Genomic DNA, 21,576 nt, shown 5'->3' on the forward strand with positions numbered 1-21,576 from the left:
TTTTTTTCTTTTTTCTTTTTTAAGGGATGGAGTTTTGTTGTGTCACCCATACTGGAGTCCAGTGTTGTGATCACGGCTCACTGCAGTCTCGACCTCCCAGGTTCCAGTGATCTTCCTACCTCAGCCTCCTGAGTAGCTGGGACTACAGGCGGGCACCGCCATGCCTGGCTAATTTTTAAAATTTTTGTAGAGGTGGGGTTTTACTATGTTGCCCAGGCTGGTCTTGAACTCTTGGATTCAAGTGATCCTCCTGCTTTGGCCTCCCAAAGTGCTGGGATTACAGGCATGAGCCACCGCGCCTGGCCCAGCCCTGTATTTGGCCAGATGAATTGAATAGATGGGAACAAAACTCAACAAAGACCTTCTACTCCTCACTTTTTCTGATTGGAATAGCTTGGTGAAGAGATGGCTGGGAAGAAATCTTTGAAAACTGGACTTAAGCGTATTTTTGAAAATTTAAATTTTAAAGTACTCTACAAACAACTTGGAGTCTTTCACTTCAGTGTGACCTAAGCAGATGTGTAGATTTAGAGGTCAAATGAGAAGTGTGTTATAAATACAGCATGCTAGATAATTGCCTTGTCATGAATATCCAAAATTGGGGGTGATAATACATTTAGAAACCAGTTTCTGCTGACAAGCATGTATCAGCTCACTTTTGGATAACCCATCCACAGCTACTTATTTTGAAGAGTGCTGGATAGTGGTGACCACACATACTCTCTGTTGGGTAATGTGTTTTACCTTAAACATTTGTGTTTTTGCCTCACCGTGGTGTTGCCCCTCGGGTCCCTGGTTTGTTGGTTTCTCTAGGCTGTGGGGTATTGGCATGTCTTACATACGGCTGTTTTCTGGATATGTTAGACCATCTGATGCATCATCTGTGAATGAAGTTGAATGTGTTTTTTTTTTTTGGAGACAGAGTCTCACTCTGTTGCCCAGGCTGGAGTACAATGGTGCAATCTCGTCTCACTGCAACTTCCACCTCCCGGGTTCAAGCGATTCTCCTGTCTCAGCCTCCTGAGGAGCTGGGACTCTGTACAGGCGCGTGCCGCCACGCCCAGCTAATTTTTTGTATTTTAATGGAGACAGGGTTTCACTGTGTTGCCCAGGCTGGTCTCGAACTCCTGAGTTCAGGCAGTCCGCCCGTCTCAGCCTCCCGAAGTGCTAGGATTACAGGCGTGAGCCACCACGCCTGGCCGAAAGTTGAACGTATTTTACATAAAGCTCCTGAGGACCTGAGGAGATTACTGAATAAGTTAATAAATAAATACATGTTTTGGAATTTTAGTGAGGTTTTCTCAGAGAAGTTCAGAGTGGCATCAGTTAGGCCAGGCCATGTGATGTGTCTTTTTTTTTTTTTTTTTTGAGATGGAGTCTTGCTCTGTCGCCCAGGCTGGGGTGCAGTGGCGTGACCTCAGCTCACTGCAAGCTCCGCCTCCTGGGTTCACACCATTCTCCTGCCTCAGCCTCCCGAGTAGCTGGGACTACAGGCGCCCGCCACCACGCCTGGCTAATTTTTTTGTATTTTTAATAGCGATGGGGTTTCACTGTGTTAGCCAGGATGGTCTCAATCTCCTGACCTCGTGATCCACCTGCCTCGGCCTCCCAAAGTACTGGGATTACAGGTGTGAGCCACCGCGCCCGGCCTCATGTGATGTGTCTTAAGGGTATCTGTGATATGTCCCTTCTTCGTGTACCCAAAGGCCTGTCATCTTGCTAAGAATGCGGCATTGGGATACATGGTATAAAAATTACTTTTTCCTTAGGAAAGTGGACACTCTGCTTTAGAAAGAGAGTGTATGCATGTTTGGTCCTGTTGCGGTAGTAAGCTCTGGGACCGGGGTGGTCACCCGTCTGAGAGTTTTGTCGTTGATTTTATTTTTTGTTTAAGCAGTTCTTGATATAGATGTGGCAAACACGGTGGCCTGTGTGTTCTGAGGCTTGCTTTGTGCCTTTGTCCTTCCATTCTGCCCTGGAGAGTAGATGCTGTGTGGTCATGTGTTCCTTTTGTGGTGTGCTCAAGAAAAGGGGGGGAGTATATGTGTATTGGGGAGGCGGTGTGGTTAGCATTGGCCAAATTATTATATTTAGAGATCATGATTTATGTCATTGTTATCTTTGCAGGAAGTGGAATTTTGGAAGGGCTCATTTGGCCAGCTTGTCTCATGGTAGCTACCAGAAGTCTCATGGTAGCTAGCATTGCCTCTTGTGTCTCTTCAGGAAACTGAGTACACAGAAATCCAGTCCTAAACACCAGAAACTGCAAGTGGTTATATTACAAATTAATCTGTCTAGAGTACTTTTAAATAAGTTCAACTCCCAGCATTCAAGTAACTCCATGGGACTCCATTGTTATAATTTAGTTTTCACCCTTTGTTGGTTGTTAGGCTTTTCATGTAGAAATACTCCCAGCATGGTGGCAGTAGAAGCAGCAGTCATAAGATCTAACATTTATTGAGCCTGTACTAGTTACCAGCCGCCTAAATTCCTTTCATGCATCATCTCATTCATTCATCACAACAATTCTCTGACCCCATGATGTAGATGCAGTTGTTATCCCCATGATTCAGATGAGGAAATTGAGACCCAGAGAAGCAGCTAGCTAGTAGGGCTCAAACTGTGAAGTGTGACTCTGAGCTGTGCTTCTGACCTCTGGCAGACTACCTGTCATAGAGACATGATCCATTCACCAAACAAGAACTCACTGAAAACCTGCTGTGTGCAGATCCTTCCTTGTGAGGCACATCGAGGGGAAAACTGTTCTGGCTTGTGGAAACAGCAGATTACAGCTTACCAGTGGAACAGCTTATTCTAGCTGGTATTTGACAACATAAGCTAGATCTTCACTTCTGTGATGGTCAGAAGGGAGATTCAGTGTTTTGTGGAAGTGAGGGGTTTGCAAAAGTGGTGTTAGTACACAAACCAGGTGACTGGAATTTGGGAGCCCTTATAGAAGGGAGGTCAACAAGACACTAAAGCATAAGACTGTCAGGGAAAGACCTGGTGGAGAGGTAGGGTGAAACACTGGACAAATTCTGCCAAGTATGGAATTGTCACCCTGTTCCCCTTGGAAAGGTTAGAGTGTAGAACAGAGATGATCTTTTGCGTGGTGGGAAATGTCCCAGAAGTGGAAGAGTGGGGCCTTGGACTCCAGGCTTCTGCTAGTCCTCCATGTGGTTAATGGGGGGGCCTCTCCTGTCTCTTGAAACCTTTCATGTGGGCACCACTTTTAACCTCCCTGAAAGTACTCAGCCCTGTTTCAGACTCACAGGTTGCCTACTTTTGAAGAGACTCTAAGCTCTATAAGCATTTGGGAATTTAGTTTTGCATTGGGTAGGGCCAGTGCCTTGAGAACAGGTCCATTGTTGTTTTATAATAGTTTATTATTTTACATAATATGGAAACTCAAGGTTTTGCCTCAGAACTGGTATTGGGGTGATTGTAAGAGGCCCAGTGACATGTGGCAGTGCTCAAGTGTGATAGCCTCTGGGAGGTGTTGTTTCTTTGTTGTTTTACTTTTCAAGCAGGAAGAGCCGTGTGGACTGGAGGGCAATGAGAGGAGGCTGTCCTGTCTCTTAGAGTGTGTTTGGGATGGGGGTTCCCAGTGTGCCTTGCTCCTTTGTGAGGGCATCGGAGCAAGTTATGGAACTGGCAGATACTGAATTACGGTAAGTACTTCAAGGTCTGTTTCCTGCTTCTTCCTGTCTGCGGAGAAGGACTGTTTTTTGTTTGTTTGTTTGTTTGTTTGTTTGTTTTGAGACGGAGTCTTGCTCTGTCGCCCAAGCTGGAGTGCAGTGGCACGATCTCGGCTCACTGCAACCTCCGCCTCCCGGGTTCAAGTGATTCTCCTGCCTCAGCCTCCTGAGTAGCTGGGATTACAGGTGCGCACCACCACACCCAGCTAATTTTTGTATTTTTAGTAGAGGCTGGGTTTCACTATGTTGGTCAGGCTGGCCTTGAACTGCTGACCTCGTGATCCGCCCGCCTTGGCCTCCCAAAGTGCTGGGATTACAGGCGTGAGCCACTGCGCCCGGCCTCGATTCCCCCCCGACCCATTCTTGTTGCCCAGGCTGGAGTGCACTACAACCTCCGCCTCCCAGGTTCAAGCGATTCTCCTGTCTTAGCCTCCCTAGTAGCTGTGATTACAGGCACACGCCACCACATCTAGCTGATTTTTTTATTTTTAGTAGAGATGGGGTTTCATCGTATTGGTCAGGCTGGTCTTAAACTCCTGACCTCGGGTGATCTGCCTGCCTCCGCCTCCCAAAGTGCTGGGATTACAGGCATGAGCCACTGTGCTGGCAGGACTGTTTTGAAACTAGTAACAGAGAATTACGTCTTGTGTGCTACCAGCTCAGTTATAACTGACCTATCTTCTCTATTTGCTACTGTTATTATCATTGTTATTTTGCTCACAGCAGCTGGGTAGTTTCAGCAAAATAATACTGAGAAGCAATCTGGATTAGGAGGCCAGCATTCTGGGCTCCTTTTTTCCCATCTGTGGAATACCACCATCAGCAAGCCTGCATCAAGAACCGTTTCTTGACACTTGCCCTGGGTACCAGCCTCTGGAAATGCAAGGATGGGTAAAACATGGTCCCTGCCCTAAAACTCGTCAGTGCCTCATAACCAGCAAGGACAAGTGGAGGGGCCTGCAAGTGGGAAGTGGTTGGGAAAAGAAGAGGAAGTGATGCTCTCAAATGTGCAGGGCTTGTCATGTGGAGGAGGATGATGTGGGGAAGGAAAACGTCCTTCTAGGCAAAAAGCAGTTTAAGTACAGGCCCTGGAGTATGAAAATATGAGGCTTAGTTGAGGACAGGGTAGGGCAAAAAGTGGAATGTGACTAGAGGATAGGGCTTAGGCGTGTTGTATTGAGTTGGAATGATGAGAAGTGTTGGCCCTGGAAAAATGGACGGGGGCTCGGTGGTGGAGTCTGTTGTGAGCCATCAAATGCTTTGGAGCAGGACTGTGATGTGAGCAGCTCTGTGGTTCAGAGAACTGCTAACCCTTTAGAAAATTTAAGTCGGAGAGAAGACAAGGTGTTTAGCAAACTGCAGTGTGAACTTGGAATTTGGTATTCTCTTTAACAGAATAACTTCTTCCCTTTTTTTTTACAAGAGATTTTTCAACCCAGGATATGTGGGCTGCCTTCTGAAGCCTTGTTAAATGATAGGGGAAAGGTGGGAACATTTATTTTCAGCAAATATAATTCAACAATGTTTAGACTTCCCTAATTGTGTTGTACTAGTTGGTACTTACTTAAGGTCATTAGAGATTGGAATTCTTTAGAGGAGAGGGACTCATTTCTCAAAAATATTGAGGATGGACACTGGGAGCTGAACTGGGACAATGTATTCCTCGTAACCACGAGTTTGGTGTGTCAGTTGGGAGTGACTGCAGGGTGGGATAGGTGTGAGCAGAGGGCCAGCTAATTTGCTGTCTTGATGACTCTGTGGGTGATGGCTTTAGGGGCTGGCAGCGTCTGGTGGAAATAGAATCTGTTCAAAAGGTGGAGCTGCCTTACAGCAATTGCCAGCTCGCTGCTCACCTGCAGAGCATGTGCCCTCATCTGGGTCACGACTCTGCCCCTCAGATGTTCCTGGTCCTCTGCTTGGATCCACCCCCTTCACTGCAGCTGAAACAGCCAACAAAGGAGCATCATGTGCCCGAGGCCTGAAAAGTTAGAGTGGATGTGAAGGAAGTCAGACTGCAGGCCCCAAAGACAATTAATGGTGTAGTAATTATTGTAGAGGCACAACATTGCCTTGTACTCTCAGGTTTTCAGAGTCCTCTGGGGAAGAAATACGAATTTTTTATAGCCTGACTTTATACATTTCAAAGCTTGTACTCATGGACTAAGGGACTTGGATGGGAGGGTTGTGCAAAATGGGGGTAGGCCTCCTGTAAACTTGGTGGGTTGGACAGAACACATACCTCAATCATTTCCATCACTGAAAACAGATTGTTTCATTTTATGATTTTCCGAATTGTTGGCGAACATTTTTTGTTTAGTTTTGTTTTTTCATGTGTTCTCGCATTTGAGATTGTGCAGGAGGAAGTAGGATTCTGGTAAGCTGAAGTGGAGCTTTTGGGGGACCTGGAGGGGAGCTGGGTTGGAGGCAGTGTCTGAAAGTGCTGCTTTTAGTGGGTTCGACCAGGGCACACTACTTAGGGGAAGCAGAGCACCATGTATGTCTCTGTGTGTAATCATCTCAACAACTTCATGAGGTGTAGCTGTTATTTTCTCCTTTTTAAAGACAGGAAACTGAGGCTTAGAGATGCTCCTGTTTCTGAGATCATGCAGCCAGTGACACATGACCAGGAAGCTTTATGGCAGGCTTTAAGAGTTGTTCTTTTAGATAATCTCAATATACGGTGATACCTGGAGAGTTTCTACCACTTGACTCAATTTGTTTGTCTTGGGGCCGGGCGTGGTGGCTCACACCTGTAATCCCAGCACTTTAGGAGGCCAAGGCGGGCAGATCACCTGAGTTCAGGAGTTCGAGACCAGCCTGGCCAATATGGTGAAACCCCATCTCTATTAAAAATAGAAAAATTAGCCAGGTGTGGTGGTGGGCACCTGTAATTCCAGCAACTCGGGAAGCTGAGACAGGAGAATTGCGTGAATCCGGGAGGCGGAGGTTGCACTAAGCTGAGATTGGGCCACTGCACTCCAGCTTGGGCAACAGAGTGAGACTCCGTCTCAAAAAAAAAGTTATGCTTTTGAGCTTAACACATTATTTGAATACCTCCAGCTTCATCTGAAATATCCTTAATTGAGCAATTGCTATGCTAGGTTTAGGCATGGTGGAGTTTGGTGTTTCTTGCCTTTGGGGAGTTGACATTATGAAAGGAATTCTTATGCCATGTGGACCCTGAGCCAAGTTCCCATGGGAAGGCCAAGGCTCACAGAAGCTCGCAGGAGTGGGTCTGCACTTCTAGGAAAAGCACAAGTAGGGGCTGAGAGCCCAGCAGGAAAGCAGGTTGGTTTTGAGTTTACAGTGTAATTTGGTGTTGAGGAAGGTGTCTGAGAAGATGGGTTGGAGGGATAGTGGGGCAAGGTGGAAGGTGGGGCAGGATTTGACCTTTTCTTCTTAATTTAAGTGGTAGGGAGTCCAAAGTTTTTGAGTAGAGAAGTCACAGTTGGCCTGCTTAGGCCTTGGAGACACCCTCAACAGTGGGCATGTGGTTTGTGTGTCTGTGCTTTGGGTGACTGCCGTGGCTCACTTCACTGTTTGCTTTTTGGCCTGAGGCAGAGAGTGCCTCCCATGGCAGCTCGTACAGGATGAACCAAGAGGCAGCACCCAGGATATCTGAATTGCCTAAAGCCACTGCAGTGATGTACACACATAGCGAAGCTTTATTTCTTTACAGCCATAGACTTGTTGAAAAGCTGAATCACATACTTTGCTTGATATTTGACTTTGTGGTTACCAATTCCAGGTGAGCCACCTTCGAGAGGGGTAACATCCTGTTGTCGGAAAGGTGCAGCCGGGCAGCAGGGAACCTGGGTTCCACTTTAGCCCTGACATAGAAGGTTTTGGTTCATGTCCCTTTGGTCTGGTAGGCCCCTTTTTGGTGCTTGTTTACGGAACTGATTTATCTTGTTTATAATGTTGGTAGACGGGTGTATATACCAAGACCTCTGGTTTACTGAAGGTAGGGCCAAGAGCTTTCCAGCAGTCTGTTGAGTGGAGCTACGGGTCAGTCAGCACACCTGGCCCAGAGCACCGTGAGCTGGTGAACCTACTTGTCCCAGGTGTTGTAGTGTGGCACTTGAGCCCACTCTACTGACTCTCCCCTCCCTCACTCAATTTTGGAGTCTTGCTGTCTTTGCCTGTTGCTGTTCTCTGCCTCAGCCCAAAAGGAGACAAGGAGTGCCTTCACCTGCCCTCACTGGGGGCAAGAGCAAGTCTGGATAAATGACTTTTACTGATAATTCCTCCAAATCATTTTTATCCTCCATAGCCAACACTCCTTCCTCTAAAAACCTGCAAAGTAGTAGTAGTAAATCCCTTTCCATTCCTCTCCTTTGCTCTTTCAGGCCTCTGGTAAAGCTGGAAGCGCCTGAAAGAGAGGCAACCGAAGCCAAGGCTGCCATAATCCACGCGCTCTGGACGTCACCCTGGGTGACTCAGATTTGGTTGCATTTGTCATTTCACAACCACCTGCATCTGATCCCACTGTGTGGGCAAACTGTCTGCTGGGAGTCTCTGCCTGGTGCCTGGTCTTGGGGGCATAGTGTTCTTCCCCAGAATTGCTTTTCCCAGCTGTTTCTCTATAGCTTTAGTCATGGGGTTCACTAGTGAAAGCTGCCATGCCTACCCTCCCCATTTACTTTTGTTAGTAGTCATTTCTTTTTTTTTTTTTCGAGATGGAGTCTTGCTCTGTCACCCAGGCTGGAGTGCCATGGCGTGATCTTGGCTCACTGCAACCTCTGCCTCCTGGGTTCAAGCAATTCTTCTGCCTTAGTCTCCCGAGTAGCTGGGCTTATAAGCACCTGCCACCACACCCAGCTAACTTTTGTATGTTTAGTAGAGATGGGGTTTTACCATGTCGGCCAGGCTGGTCTCAAACTTCTGACCTCATGATCCATCCACCTTGGCCTCCCAAAGTGTTGGGATTACAGGCGTGAGCCACTGCTCCTGACTGTTAATAGTCATGTCTTTTTTTTTTTTTTTTTTTTTTTTTTTGAGACGGAGTCTTGCTCTGTCGCCCAGGCTGGAGGTCAGTGGCGCGATCTCGGCTCACTGCAAGCTCCGCCTCTCGGGTTCACACCATTCTCCTGCCTCAGCCTCCGGAGTAGGTGGGACTACAGGCGCCCGCCACTGCGCCCGGCTAATTTTTTGTATTTTTAGTAGAGACGGGGTTTCACTGTGGTCTCGATCTCCTGACCTTGCGATCCATCCACGTCGGCCTCCCAAAGTGCTGGGATTACAGGCGTGAGCCACCGCGCCCGGCCAATACTCATTTCTAAGAAGCAAATATGTACCATCGTATGCCAGTCATGGTAAATGCTTTCTGTGCATTATCTTCATAGTCCTCACAACAGTCCTATTAAATTGGTATAATTATCCTCATTTTGCAGATTTGGAAGGTGGCATTTGGGGAGGTTACCCTAATCTTTTCAGTTACCTAACTTAATGTACAGGAGGCATTATACCTCTTGCAGTCTGTATTTCATCTGATTTAATCTTTGCATCAACTTAAAAGTTCACTGTTATTTCTGTTTACAGATGAGGAAGCTGGGGCTTAGTTTAAATAACTTGCCCAAGGTTACTCTAGCTAGTTAGTGAGGGAGTCTGAATTCAAACCCAGGCCAGTGTACTCCAATACAAGTGCTCTTCATCTTTTCACTTCTGCATTTGTTTTTTAAGTAAAAATATCCACTTTTGGGCTGACAAAGCTGATAGCTTCTCGAACTCCTGGCCTCAAGGGATCCTCCCATCTCTGCCTCCCAAAGTGGTAGGATTACAAGTGTAAGCCACACGCCCGGCCAAAGCTGATGGCTTCTATTGGATTTGTTTTCTAATGCTTTGTCCATTTTTAAATGGGGGAAGAAAGGGAGATAATGTACTATAGGTTAAGCTCCTTGAGGACTTTTTTTTTTTTTGGAGACAGAGTCTCCTCTGTCATCCAGGCTGGAGTGCAGTGGTGTGATCTTGGCTCACTGCGACCTTCACCTCCTGGGTTCCTGTGATTGTCGTGCCTCAGCCTCCCAAGTAGCTGGGACTACAGGCACATGCCACTACTCCCAGCTAGTTTTTGTATTTTTAGTAAAGATCGGGTTTTTTTGGTTTGTTTGTTTGAGACAGAGTTTTGCTCTTGTTGCCCAGGCTGGAGTACAATGGTGCAATCTCGGCTCACTGCAGCCTCTGCCTCCCGGGTTCAAGCGATTCTCCTGCCTTAGCCTCCGAAGTAGCTGGGATTACAGGCATGCGCCACCATGCCTGGCCAATTTTTGTATTTTTAGTAGAGACAGGGTTTCATCATGTTGGTCAGGCTGGACTCGAACTCCTGACCTCAGGTGATCTACCTGCCTCGGCCTTCCAAAGTGCTGGGATTGCAGATGTGAGCCACCGTGCCCAGCCGAGATTGGGTTTTACTGTGTTGCCCAGTCTGGTCTCCTGGGCCTCAAGCGATCCATCTACGTTGGCCTTCTAAAGTGGTGGGATTAGAGACGTGAGCCACCACGCCCAGCCACTTTTTGTTCTTTTTAAGCATTTTATTCACTGATGCCTCCCAAGCGCTTGCCATAGTGCCTGGCACATACTAGGTGCTCAGTCAGTATTTGTTGAAGGAATGAATGCGGTAGGGGTTATTTGACCTGTTTCACAGGTGGCGATATTGACACAGAGCAGTTGGGTGTCTTGCCCATAGGCATGCACCATTGTTGAAAACAGCTTTTGCTCTTCACACACAGATCTTTTTTTTCTTTTAACAGATTTTTTTTTTACAGGTATAAAATGGAAGTCATTAGACCTAAGTGATGGGATTGTAGAGTGTAATATAACACACTATAAATACCCCGTGTCTGGTATACAATGTCAACATTCAGTAAGTGACTGTGTTTGTTGTGGTTGGAGCTTCTTTTCTGCATGTGCCCTCATTTTGGGTAGGGTTGCCACACAGATAAGGAAACTTGAAAATTTGTGAGCCATGGAAACCTTTTAAAAACATGTTTAATTAATGCAGTGTTTCTATCTTTGCTATACTATCCATCAAGCAATACAAGTAGTCAAATTGGTGATAGGAGTTCACATCTATCCTGAGCAAGTCGACAAGTGGGTTATGACTGGCAAGATTTGATTAAATGATATTTGCATTTTCCCTGTTTACAATCGTAGAGCATTGCACTGGAAGGGGCCTCAGGGAAGCATGGTTCGTTTCTTTTCCTTATACCTCCTTAGCTTACAGGTGAGGAAAGTGAGGCCTGGAGAGATGCAGGGGGCAGGCTTGATGTGGAACTCTGGACTTGCATGTCACATTCTCTTAGACATCAGCTCACCCTGCCAAATCCAGGTGCCTGGACGGGCTTGTATGAACTTTTGTGGTGGAGCCACAATTATTCCTACTATGATGTTAGTAGCAGATTGTATCAATAATCCACCAAGAGCCAATACATCAAAATCAGGACTGTTTAAACATTGTTTTTTACCCATCATAAAATGTTCTTAGCCAGGCACCATGGCACACCCGGGAAGTCCCAGCCACTTGGGAGGCTGAGGCAGGAGGATCGCTTGAACCTGGGAGTTTGAAATCAGCCTGGGCAACATTGTGAGACTCCATCTCTAAATAAGTAAATGAATGAATGAATGAATGTTCTTATTCATTGTACATAATAAGAAGGAATATGAAGAAAAAACAAGTTATCCTAAATTAAGATTATAAATAGTCCTAAGGATTAAAAATTATTTTTTCATCAGAATTTTAATTATTTCACTGCACCTATGCCCATAATAGAAGAATTATAAATGAACCCAAAGGAAAAAACATCTAATGATGCAAAAAGGAAAAAGGAAAGTAAAATTGTTTATGCCCACAAGTCAGAGATAAATCATTGTTGATACTTTACTATTTCCTTTTAGGTGGTTTTCTATGGATATATACACATATTACAAAAATGGGATTTATTGTGGACAATAAAACCCATTTTTGTACATGTCTTTATACCATATGTTTTACAATTTTAATATGATATGACAAGTCTTTTTTGGTGTATTCAAATATTCTTGAACATGAAAATCACATTTTGATGTGGCATAATTTTGGGGGGCAGGGTCATAGGCTAATGTTATAATTATTTTGCATTCCCTGGGCACTCATTGTGTGAGTGAAGGAACCTATCTTCTAGGTTACATGAAACCAACATAGTATTAAACTTTTTATGGTAAATTGTGAATATGTAGTTCATCAGAAATTTATTTTAAAGAGAAAAATACTGAACTGACAAAATGTGTGTGTTTATTTTTGGATAGCATGTGATCTGTCTTATTACCCCAAACCCGTGAGGGTTACTGATGAAAAACAAATTGAGCAGTTCAAAAAGTCCTTTCGCTAGAGGGTTGGCCTCTCTTGAGAGGAAGGTGTTTGTTCTCTTACATAGGGCACTGTGTTGTGAATGTTAGGAATGATGTGATGTGTCCTTTATCTGTGGTTGTATTTTTACTGGATGTTTTTCTTTAATCAATGTCATGTTATTTGGACATTCTAGAGCAATTATTCCCCATCTTTTTAAATGTAAGATACTCTTTTAATGTAAAAAATTTCCAGACCAAGTGTGATTTTAATTATTTTTTTAGATTCTGTTGAGAAGCTCTAATGACAGAAAAACTCTATCGACATTTTAGTGGCACTTATCTTTATTAAATACAGCAGCATTTTCATATACTTGCAAAATAATTGTACATATATGTGTAAATTTAATTGATTTCTAGATGCTTGATGAGCAAATGAATAAGTGGATCCCTTGAAATAGCTCCCTGGAGGGCCCCTGCCCTAGAGGAAGACAGATCCTGCATATGTAACCCTAAAGTCTAATGTCAGGAAAATAACGATTAGACTAGTTCTGAACCGCAAGTGGAGTTCTGTAACTAGAGCTAAACGCCACTGTATGACAAGTTAGGAAGATATATTTTCTTCCACCTGTTCATACACTGAACGGTTTCCAGAGCAGCCCTTGATATCACCTCATTTTCCTCATCATTTCAAAGAATTCTATTGGGAAAGAGAATGCAATCAGCCAGATTGTAAGAAACATTTGGACATACTTAATGACTCTCCCTTGGCCCTTTTAATTAATCTACTGTGATCTATTAGAGAGAGGACTGGGTTTGTTAGCTAGGAGACTAACGTAAGGTCCTGAATGCAAGCCCAACCTTGATTATGATTAAAACAGAAAAAGATATACTTCACACCTTGGTTTTTCCATCTCTAAAATGGGTAGAATTATCTTCCTTGTGCCTTCTTAGGAGGTGACACAATGATACCCATGGGCAGCATTTTCTTTCTTTTTAATCAGTAAACGTAAACAAAAACCTTTGTAAGGATGGAAGCTATTGGAAAGTACCATATAAAGGATTAGGACCGTAAATCCAGGGAAATTCTAAGCATTCTGAAAGCTGCTTTTAGGCAGGGCAGCAGCCAAAAGACCAGCTGGTAGATTGAGACCTTTCTGAAAAACCTGACTTCATTCTCTTGTGGTTCCATTTTCCTTTTTTTCAAATGGGGTCTAGTGGCTTAGCTGTGGTTATTCCACAGCTGATGCCTCTTTCATTGCTGTTCTTCTGGTTCTGACAACAACAGCATTCTTGCACCACTTAACTCTCCAAGATGCAGGCAGGGGAGGTGACTGCCTCATTTCTGATGTGCTTGTTAGCTACAGGAAAAGCATCTTAGTATTCTACCTTTGTCTAGGACTTGGGACTGGGAGCAGGTATTCCGTTTAAGTTTTATGTGCCATCTGTATATTTTCAAAAACATTTAACATGATCTTTATTTCAAGCTTTTATAGCCCTTTCAAGTTGCTCTAGGGGACTTAGCAAAACAGGTAGACAGTAAGTATGGATCAACTGAGCACAGGAAAGAATGGGATTTGGGAAGATCACATTGTTTGGATTTTCTGCTGATACTAAAGCTGGATTTTTACTACACAGGCAGGGAGAAATTACTGTCCTGTGGTGGACCTGGTGAGAGAGGTGGCATATGACTAAGCAAGTCAGCTGACCTCAATTAAAGGGCTGTGACCATCTGTACAATGGGACCAGTACCTCCTCCAACTGTTGGTCTCAGCTGAGTGAGATTCCCATGTCTGAGGAGGTGATCAGGGGTGATGATGACTTTTGATGGAACTGACCTCACACAGGTTTCTGGGGGAAAAAACCCACCAAACTTTATTTTAAGAATTCTAAAACAATTTTACAATTCTGATTTGAGTAGAAGTTTGATTTGAAAAGGGACTTCATCTGCACCTTCTCTCTTGCCTTTGTTTATAGATGTCAGTAATGCCCGTATTTTAAAAAGTTGAAATGAGTTATAAATTATATCTTAAGGATTTTAGTTTGTTTTGAAGAATTGTTTAATTGGCTAGGATTTCTCCCCCCTTCAGTAGCTTCAGATCCCAATGGCTAGGCAATATGGAGATAATAGTAAACAGGATTTTGTAAGAGATGTTATTTATTTATTTATTTTTAAATAGAGATAAGGTCTTGCTATGTTGCCCAGGCCGGTCTCGAACTCCTGGGCTCCAGCAACCCGCTATCCTCAGCTTCCCAAAATGTTGGGATTACAGGCATGAGCCACTACCCTCAGCCTGAGACATTATTTGAGGAGGAGGTCATGAATATATAATTAACTTAGGAGTACAAATGAAAAGTTTTCTCTTGAACCTACCTTTTTGAACAGAAGAGGTGATTTTTAGGTATAATGGTGTGCAAAGTAACAAATAACAGCCTCTAAAGACATTTAAAACAATAAATAAAGCATAAATATCTTTATTCAGGATGAACTGAGTTCTGAAGCCTGATGTTTTCAAGAGTTCTTTATTATCAGGTGGCTTGTGAAAGCCCGTCGTTAACCAAACGTGTTGTGTTTGCCTCAGAATTTTATTAAAAAGGTATGCATAGGTTCATATCCCCCTTATGTGAGGTGGCAGTGAAACAGAAACTTGATAGAAATATTGAGGAGGGGAAAAGATGAAGCCACCGCGGCACCTGGCCTCCCTCTTTCACTTCCCTTTCCAACTCTGCTCCTTTGAGATGTTCTTCGAGAAGATGGAGGAAGCTTGCTGGGTTTAGGGTCATCACCCAGGATCTGGCGACGGGAGTGCCTCAACATGGGGAGTTCCCTCCCCAAAGCCCAGAGCTAATTCGTCACATCCAGCTGCTGTCAGGAGTTGAGCAGTCCTGTCCCCTGGCTTTCCTGGGAAGGCCTGGGTGGAGGCGGCAGGAGCAGGCAAGGGACCAAGAGAGTGCCTGCTAGACCTGATGCCTCTCCCTTCCCCCCTGAGCCCCCAGGGAAGGAGCTGCCTTATAGACTCGGGTACAGGGAGGCAGGGAATAGAGGGTTGGAATCCAGAAAAGAGGGTGGAGGGCATGACTGCAGTTACTGCCATTGTCTCAGGACAGACAGACCAAGCCCTGGTACAGAAATTGTTTGGCTGTTGGCCTTTTCTCTTCAGATGTTTACATGCAGGAAGTGCCTTTGATAAAGTATGGTTTGCTAACATGAGTATGATATGCATGCGCATTTTTGGATGCCAAACACATAGGCAGATGAAACTAAGAAGCCAGATGCTAAGATAGTTGTTGATGAATTGAAACTAGCCTAACTGGCTCCACTGTTGGAGTCATTTGCTCAAACTACTCCAAACTTTTGTTTGGTCTACTGAAAACATTAGTTGGAAAGGTACAGCGTTAATTTAAGGCAGGGAAGCCTCCAGCACGTGAGAGTCGTGTCTCTCTCGGTGATGCTGGGAGGGAAGGATGGGAGATGAGAGTCATTTCACGGCCGCCTAGCTCCTCCTCTTCCTCTCCCTGCCCTGGAGCTGCAGCCTCAGCTTTCAGAGTCTCTTGCCTGGTGGTAGGCCCGGCGAGCGGTTGGATTTTAAGTATCTCAGTTATTTTCAGTATCATCAGTCATCACTTTCAGAGTTCCTTTTCTTTTTCAAGGGTACCCAGTCTAACTGTTTAGCTCCTTTTCAATAGCCCTCCTCACTCACTTACGCCTAGTCAGGAAGATTAATAATGTTAACTGATTTACTATCACTGCAAAAAGCATTAGTTAATTAGACTTTTACACCTCAGTCAGATGGCATTAGACACCCTTTGTGCACTTTAACTCAAGGATGTTAAAGACCTAAATCTTTCAGAAAAAAAGAAAAGAAAGAAAAAGGACAGGCACTTTTCCAGTTTAAGCTGCATGTTGGTCCATGTTAATTAGGCATTTGTCCTTTAGTCTGGAGGTGATAGAAAATGCCAGTTACTGTGGTATTTAACTGACATCAAACTCCTGTCCAAATAATTCAGTTGGGCCCAGCCTTCTCTCTTAATTGGTGGGAAGGAAAACTTCGGCACACACCCAGAATAGGGAGGAAACTGTTACGTTGAACATTTTGAAGTTTCATTCTGAAGGATCTGAAAGACACTTGAATATTTTTTAAATTAACTATCCAGTTGAGCTTTTTAAAAACAGTAACAAAAGAATCTCCCCTCAAACTTGAGCTACCCCAAATGATTAGCTTTTGTAAGTCTTCAGAAAATGAAAGTTTAGTCATTGTAATCCAAGGTCAAAGTGGTGGTTGTTATCCAAAGCTCTTATAGATTTATGTATCTGTTTGGCCCTGTTTTAAACAGTGCTCTGAAAATTGACAGTTTTCTAGCTCACACTCGTATTTCTTTATTAATACCAGAAATTCACAAGTGGGTTAAGGCACCCACCAGTATACACATTTAAAAATCAATATATGCTAGCATATTGGGACAAAAGTGACATGAATATGATTGTTTCATGGGAGCAATTAGATGACACTTTTTTTGTTTTGTTTTTAAAAGTAACTTGTTCCTAGTTGCTGGAGAAGGTAATCCTCCGTAATAAGAGTATAGTTTACCTTATTCATGAGTTACGTAAAACAATTACAAAAATAATGAAAAGATTTTTTTTCTAACTTAGTAGGTAGCCTTATTTGACTCTAAACCTTACTCACTTTTGTGTATGGTTTCTAGCCAAAGGTTCACACATGTGAGAACATTTCACTTTTAGTACTGAACTACTTTTTCGTGCACTGAATGAATACAATATGTTAACACTCCTGTAAGGCCCAGAATTGCTTGGCTGCCCCTTGCCCTGCCTGCCTGGTACTGGCTGAAAAGGTACCATTGTTTGTTCTGCAAACACTGAGTGATGTTTGTTTCCAAGGTGACTGGTTCTATTGCTGCCCTTTAAGCAAAGGTGGGAGGGGGGATGGGGGAGAGAGAAAGTTGGCTTCAGACACCTGAGAGCATCCTGTTCTGGGTACAGTGTGTGTATGTATATGTTTGTAAGTTGAAATTTTATTTTAACTGAGGTAATTGGAGAAAAAGGGATAGTGTAGAAATGGGAGGAAAAGACAGTATCAGTAAGTTAAAAATATCAGTAGGTTCTGATGTTTAACTCAATATACTTTGAGTGAATGTAATGGTAAATGTTAAAATTAAAGATCTGGTTTGACTGAAGTTAACTTTACATTTGGAGTTAAGGGGAGAAAAATAGATAACTGTTGAAATGTTAAATTTATTTTTGCATAAAATAGTTCTGCTATAACCTATGTGTAGCTATTCAAACAAATAAATATTCGACAATATAACTGAATTGGTTATTGATCAGGTAGTTGGGCCTTCAAAAAAAAGTATGAGAATATGAAATATAAACAGATTTAAGTTCTGTAAAAACAAAATCTGTAAAATCATTCAGGTATATTTGTGTTCAAAATTTTCCAAAAAGATTAGATTAAAAGTATCTTTTAATTGGTGATATATATTGACTCCATTAGACTTTGGAAATTTATATTTTATCAGTCAGAACTTTTAGATTCAGACTAGAAAAAAAATTCCTTCTTGGTCCTTTCCCCCACCCACCCTTTTTATTGTACATAGATGCTGTTAACAGAACTTTGCCTTTTTCATTCCTATCAGGTTTAGTACAGTTCATGCGCAGGTTTCAGTAAACATTAACTACTTTTATCAGAGCTTGCAGTGTGCTGAATGGTTAGCAAAGAGAGTGTACTGCAAGAGACAGATGAAAATGAGAGAGTCCAAGGTCACATGGATTTTGAATTTTTTTTAATTATTGAGAATTTAGGGGAAAGACCATCAGGCTTCACACTTTAAATCTCTTTATGTGGGCCTGCCACACGGCGTCTTTGCCAGCTTTTGTATGTACTGAAGCTAAAACATTTGTTCAGATGCTGATTGGCAAGGCAAGTGACTTTAAAACATGGTTTTTTTTTCTTTCAATTAAAAAAAGTTTTATTCAGGGCTGCCTTCTAGGATGAAAGATTCTCAAGGCCCTATCAAAGACGTAATGCAACACTTATCGTGGTGATTCTTAAGACTCCTTTGAATTTTATAGGGATATCCTTTTTCTCAAAGATTTTTCAGGATTGCCTTCTGATAATCTATTTCGTTTCTGGAGTTAGCACAGTAACTCGTAAACCAAGTGCTAAAAGATGAAATCTGAAACACAGATATAGAATAAACGTGTTTTGGATATCATGTAATGTTCCCCAACTTTTGCCTATCATTTTCGAAAACAGGAATGTGATCTGTACTTATTTTTAGAGAAAAGGACACGAACATTTGAGAAATTACTGACAAAAATTATTCTCCTCCTGCCCCTCCGATCCAATAGGTTTGAAGCCGCTGGTCCTCGCCTTTTACTCCTTAGCTGGACAGCGGGTTCGGGATCTGCCCCATGACTAAGGCTGAAGTGGAAAGTTGCGAAGATAGAACAAGAGTTGTTCCTTAGGGTGGTGTCCCTAAACTTGAAAGTGGACTTGGTCCTGCTCGCAGGTGGGCTTGCACGCGCCAGGCTTCGTGTGGTGGCTCGCGCGCGCTGGCCCCCGAGCGCCAGCGTGGGTGACCCGTGCCCCGCCCCGGACGGCCTTTTCACCCTGTTCTGTTTCTGGGGAGGGGCGAGGGGAAAACTGCGGGTGCCTTCCCTCAGAGGCGGGCAGCCATTGTGCCTCGGGAACACGGTCTGAGTAGAGTTGTGTTCGCACAGCTGAAGGCGGCCGGCGGCCCTCCCAGGGCCTCGAGGGTCTGTCTGTGCCCTCCTCAGGCTGGGACCGGGCAGCCGACTGCCCGCGTCAGGGCTCCACGGCCGCAGGGGCCCCCTCGGGCCGCCCCCAGGGCTCCCGCGGTGGGTGTCCGGTGAGCGGGTAGCGAGGCCATCAGTCAGGGCGGCGGGCGCCGATTGGCTGGCGGGCTGGCGGGGGCCGGGCGGGGCGGGGCTCGGTGTTCGTTCGCGCTGGCGTTCCCCCGTGAGTAGAGCCGCGTCTTCCAGCGGATCTTGCCGCACTTTCCTCAGTTGCGAAGGGCACGGCCGCTGGGGACACAACCTAATGAACAACCGGAGCTCTTCAGAGATGCCTTTAGCAACTCAGCTCCTTAAAAATAATAAATTCCTCTTAGGGAAAGATTAGAAGATGAGTGTGCTTGGAGCGAACCCGTGCCCGCCCCCCCGCCTTTTTTGGCTAGAGGGCATTTAGCCTGTGACCACTTTTAAATTTTCACAAGATTTGCATAGACATGAGCATGCCCACTCGCATTATGTAATTATTTCCCCAAATAAGTCCCCATTGAAACATTTGGCTTCCCCGATGGCTATTTCAGAATAAAAACATGTAGCAGGGTATTTCATGATGGGTAGCTCCAAAAACTTTTGTTTAAAAGAAAAACCACGTATCTAGAAAATGCTCCTTTAAGCCTTTTTTGACGAGGAGGAGGGGTGCAGACACTTGCCTGCGGCAAAGTGAACCTGGAAGGAGCGGGGCGTGTGTAGGACAGAGCCCAGGAGAACGGGCAGCCGGGTGGCCGGGCCAGGAAGCAGGGCCTTTCTGGCCCTTTCCGCAGAGGGCTGGATAATTGCCTCTCCTTTCTAAAAGGAGCCGTTTTCTGGGCCGGGAGCGGTGGCCCTCGCCCATAGGCTCACGCTCGTAATTCCAGCAATTTGGGAGGCCCAGGCAGGCGGATCATCTGAGGTCAGGAGTTCGAGACCAGCCTGGCCAACATGGTGAAACCCCGTCTGTACTAAAAAAAATACAAAAATTAGCTGGGCGTGGTGGCGTGCGCCTGTGATCCCAGCTACTCAGGAGGTTGAGGCAGGAGAATCGCTTGAACTTGGGAGGTGGAGGTTGCAGTGAGCCGAGATCGCGCCACCGCACTCCAGCCTGGGCAACAAGAGTGAAACTCCGTCTTAATTTAAAAAAAAAAAAAAGGCTATTTTCTGAGAATGGAGGTGGAGGACCACACAAAACCCAGCCAGTTCTCGTGGCTTCCGCTTTTACACCCTCCTCCGAGAGCCGGCTCCCATGCCCTTCCCAGCTGCGCTGCCCTCGGCACCACCGGGTGCGTCCCCCCGCAAAGCTGGACGCCCTTGTGTCCTCCCGCCTGCCCTCGGTGTCAAGTCTCCCTCCAGGACGCAGTTTCTCGATGTTCTGTACTGGAAGTACATCACCGGTGAGGGCAGCAGGTCACTGTTTGGTAACCATCAGGCTGTTCCGGTGGCTAAAGGTTGCCTGCTGCCAGGCGCCTTGCTGAGTGTGCCCTGCCTTAGTCTGAGACAGTTCGTGGGGTCAGGCTTGACCCCCAGCAGGCCCGCTTCATGAGCTGGCGCCTCTGCAGCCATGTGATGGGCGGAGCCACGTGGGGCTAGCTTACCAAGCCAGGGCACTGACTTCTGCCCCAAGGCCGGGCAGGGAGGACCCCAGCACCGGCCACTCTAGGACCCTAGAATGAGTTCAGTGACTTTACGTGGCACCCCCTCTTTCCACTTTGAGACTTACCTCACTTTTGCTGCACCACCTTTGGTGGTCGCTTTTCTCTTAATAGTGATTCTTCATTCTTCATGGGGGGATAACTTTTCTCTTCTACACATGCTGGGACCCCTCTCCAGGAGGTTCTGGTGGAGCATGAACCAGTGGCTGGGGCATTGGAAGCTTCCCAGGCGATGCAAATACAAAGCCCTAATAAAGCTTTCAAAACTGCGTTAGAAACAGGTCACTTTTACATTTGTGTTGGAAACTTGTCTTGAGACAAATGAATACATTTGAGCCACTGGGATTTTTGGGGAAAATACAGCTAAAAGGGTTAGGAAATGATACATAAGGAAATTCTCCCATCTGATGCTGGCTGGCTTGCTTGCTTGCTGCAAACCCGAGTGTTTTCTATTAAGTGAGGCATTGTGGTTCCTATGCTAGCCCTGATGGGCCTTCAGCACTGGCAGGTGTAAATGCGGCTCATTAATTTTTTAAGAAGTTGGAACTCTGACAGTTTTCAGGGATGCTGAGTAGCTGGTACCAGATGTTTCTTTTGTTAAGGGCATGGAGAGGCAGTGTCACAGGTAATCAGGCTATGGTCGTTCACTCCCTTGGTCTGAGACTATGCGTTTTGTGGTGCTGAATGTTTTCTTAAACCAAGAAGGGTGTGGGGAGGTGCATGTTCTGGTTTCTAGTTGGGCTTTCCCCCGACACTGGCTCTTGCAGTATTATCTTAGGTAGAGGTGTTGACTCAATTATCATTAGACCCAGCTCCTGTTGGAAGAGAGTAAATGGTGCTTGGGGCCTCTTTATCTAGACCGTTTTGCCACCGCTGAAGTGACAGCCTGTGCTTCTAACTGAATTCAGTCCTTTTTTTTCACTCCCTTTCTGTGGAACAACAGCAAAGTCGGCTGCTCATCATTCGGGTGCAGACTTTACAGCCTCTGAACAGCCTCTGCTTTTGCAGTTTATGAATGCACCATTTGTTGTTTTGAGCACAACTGTTAGATACAACTGGCCTCTGCAGCCCACTCTGCCGGCGACCAGTGTGCATCACTGCA

The 21,576-nt window shown here is 45.0% G+C and overlaps 1 protein-coding gene across 4 annotated transcripts in view, besides 5 other annotated features; it reads left to right on the forward strand.

Moving 5' to 3' along the window:
* Window positions 1-21,576, forward strand: part of RREB1 (ras responsive element binding protein 1) — a 144,238-nt gene that overhangs the window by 14,518 nt on the left and 108,144 nt on the right. The gene's annotated exons all lie outside the window — the stretch shown is intronic.
* Window positions 2,101-2,619: an enhancer, noted in NCBI's record as "NANOG hESC enhancer chr6:7124594-7125112 (GRCh37/hg19 assembly coordinates)". NCBI's record gives its function as "activates a minimal SCP1, AML or CMV promoter by ChIP-STARR-seq in primed H9 embryonic stem cells {active_cell/tissue: H9 hESC(primed)}" and the evidence as "EXISTENCE:reporter gene assay evidence [ECO:0000049][PMID:30033119]".
* Window positions 14,752-14,821: an enhancer, noted in NCBI's record as "active region_23936". NCBI's record gives its function as "activates an Ori minimal core promoter by ATAC-STARR-seq in GM12878 lymphoblastoid cells {active_cell/tissue: GM12878}" and the evidence as "EXISTENCE:reporter gene assay evidence [ECO:0000049][PMID:35858748]".
* Window positions 18,115-18,642: an enhancer, noted in NCBI's record as "H3K27ac-H3K4me1 hESC enhancer chr6:7140608-7141135 (GRCh37/hg19 assembly coordinates)". NCBI's record gives its function as "activates a minimal SCP1, AML or CMV promoter by ChIP-STARR-seq in primed H9 embryonic stem cells {active_cell/tissue: H9 hESC(primed)}" and the evidence as "EXISTENCE:reporter gene assay evidence [ECO:0000049][PMID:30033119]".
* Window positions 18,653-19,032: a silencer, noted in NCBI's record as "silent region_16886". NCBI's record gives its function as "represses an Ori minimal core promoter by ATAC-STARR-seq in GM12878 lymphoblastoid cells {active_cell/tissue: GM12878}" and the evidence as "EXISTENCE:reporter gene assay evidence [ECO:0000049][PMID:35858748]".
* Window positions 19,113-19,242: an enhancer, noted in NCBI's record as "active region_23937". NCBI's record gives its function as "activates an Ori minimal core promoter by ATAC-STARR-seq in GM12878 lymphoblastoid cells {active_cell/tissue: GM12878}" and the evidence as "EXISTENCE:reporter gene assay evidence [ECO:0000049][PMID:35858748]".

The sequence above is a fragment of the Homo sapiens genome, chromosome 6, assembly GCF_000001405.40.
Source record: "Homo sapiens chromosome 6, GRCh38.p14 Primary Assembly".
Lineage (NCBI taxonomy): Eukaryota > Metazoa > Chordata > Mammalia > Primates > Hominidae > Homo > Homo sapiens.